We start from the raw sequence: 1,874 nt of genomic DNA, 5'->3' as shown, positions 1-1,874 counted from the left end.
AAGAATTGCCTTTTCTTCAGTTTCTAATATCATGTTCCTCATTTTCATCTCAGACTTTACCAGAAGTAGCCTTACTGTTCCTACTTATGGTACTATTTTCTAACATGATAGGAAATTTCTATGTAGTTCTCCTAACTTATCTCTGATTTATCACTAGAATGTTCTTTAATAAGCATTATTTCTACCAACAATCTCTTCAAGTGAGTCTATGCATATTTTTTTTAAATCAAGAGCCTCAAAACTCTTTCAGCCTTTACCCATTACCCAATTCCAGAGCCATTGTCACATTATTTAAAAATTTCTTGCAGCAATACCCCAATCCCATCACCAAAATCTATTCATGTCCTGGGGCTATCATAGCACACATGCTGCTTAAACCAATAAAAATGTATTCTCTTACAGTTCCTGAGGATAGAAGTGTGAAATCGAATTGGCAATTACCCACCACCTCCCTATAAGGGAGGATCCCTCTGTGTCTCATCTGGCTTCTGGTGGTCCCAGGTGTTCCTAGGTTCCTGGCAGTTTAACTCCAAAATCTACCTCTGTTCACATAGTCATCTTGCCTCTCCATCTGTGTCCAAATATCTTTCTTCTTATTAGGACACAAATCATATTAGACTAAGGACCCACTTCACTACAATACAACTTCATCTGAACTTAATTTCACCTGAACTTAACTGAATTTATGTCTGCAACGACCCTATTCCTATATAAGTTCACAATCTGAGATACCTGAAATTAGGAATGTAAGAGGTCTTTTTGTAGGACACAATTTAACACACAACAATCTGCTTTTATTCTGGGGCTCTGGAATTTTGATAACCATTCATGTATGTGCAGACAAAGAATCCCTATGTAACCAGTTCCTCCAAAACAAACAAACAGAAAACCACCTTGACTTGAGTTTCAAGTGAGTCCCCCTCGGCAGAAGCACTGGGAACATGTTGTTGCGTTTCACTGCTGGGAAATGGAAAGCATTTTGCGTGAGTCCACTCCCTCATTCCGAAAGGGTGAGTTTTGGAAGTCTGCACCTGGATTTCTCCAGACTCCATCTGATGTGCCTTTTCCTTTGATGACCCTACTGTGTATCATTTTACTGTTATAAGCCATACCCATGACCACAACTCTCTCTGCATCGAGAATGCCTTTCTACCAAATCACTGAGAATGTGGGTGGCCATGCAACCCCTACAATATATACGGGCTTAGCTAGGGGCCAAAATCCTGTGTGATCTTTCAGGCCAGACCACAGGCAATGGCAAAGGCTTTACCTGTCAGTCCCTGTGGGAGAGAGCTGTCTTCCCAACACCAGACTTGCAGTCTCAAAGGGATAAGCAGCCAAATATATCACTTTCTCTTTTCCCCCTCCCCACTGTCCCACTCTACTCCCACCTCTACTGGCCATGTTCATACATATATTTTCATCCCTAGCCCAGGATTCTGCCCTTGCATGTCTCATCTGGGGCCCCATTTGAGAATCTCCTATGGCAAGAGGAGTAGAAAACTATCGTGACCAGGAGCTTGTTCTCTGCTTTGACTGAGTTTGCTCCTACCTTGTACCCATTCCCTCTCCCTGTCCCCACAGGTCTCCATAAGATGGCAGGAGCTTCTTGTTCACTGCTGCTTAGTGAGATGTTTTCCCACCTTCATCAAATGTTACCTGACTGACTCTAGCCTGATATCTTTCCGTTGGAAAAAATAAAACATTAGAGGACAGCACTTTTCTTTTTCTTTGCCTTTTGCCTGCATTATTGCAGTATTTGAATAATGACTTGATTGTTATTTTCAGTTTGACTTTTGTCCTAATTGGCCACCTTGAGAGTTGGCAGCTTGACAACTACCTTAGAGTACTCTCGCTGTCAGGCTCTGTCTTGC

General features: G+C 42.0%; 1 annotated feature.

Moving 5' to 3' along the window:
* Positions 373 to 1,572: an enhancer, noted in NCBI's record as "BRD4-independent group 4 enhancer chr13:85258624-85259823 (GRCh37/hg19 assembly coordinates)". NCBI's record gives its function as "activates an origin of replication core promoter dependent on BRD2, P300/CBP, MED14 and CDK7 cofactors, and independent of BRD4, by STARR-seq in HCT116 cells {active_cell/tissue: HCT116}" and the evidence as "EXISTENCE:reporter gene assay evidence [ECO:0000049][PMID:35650434]".

Source organism: Homo sapiens, chromosome 13 (genome assembly GCF_000001405.40).
Source record: "Homo sapiens chromosome 13, GRCh38.p14 Primary Assembly".
NCBI lineage: Eukaryota > Metazoa > Chordata > Mammalia > Primates > Hominidae > Homo > Homo sapiens.
This window is presented reverse-complemented; position numbering and strand designations above follow the sequence as displayed.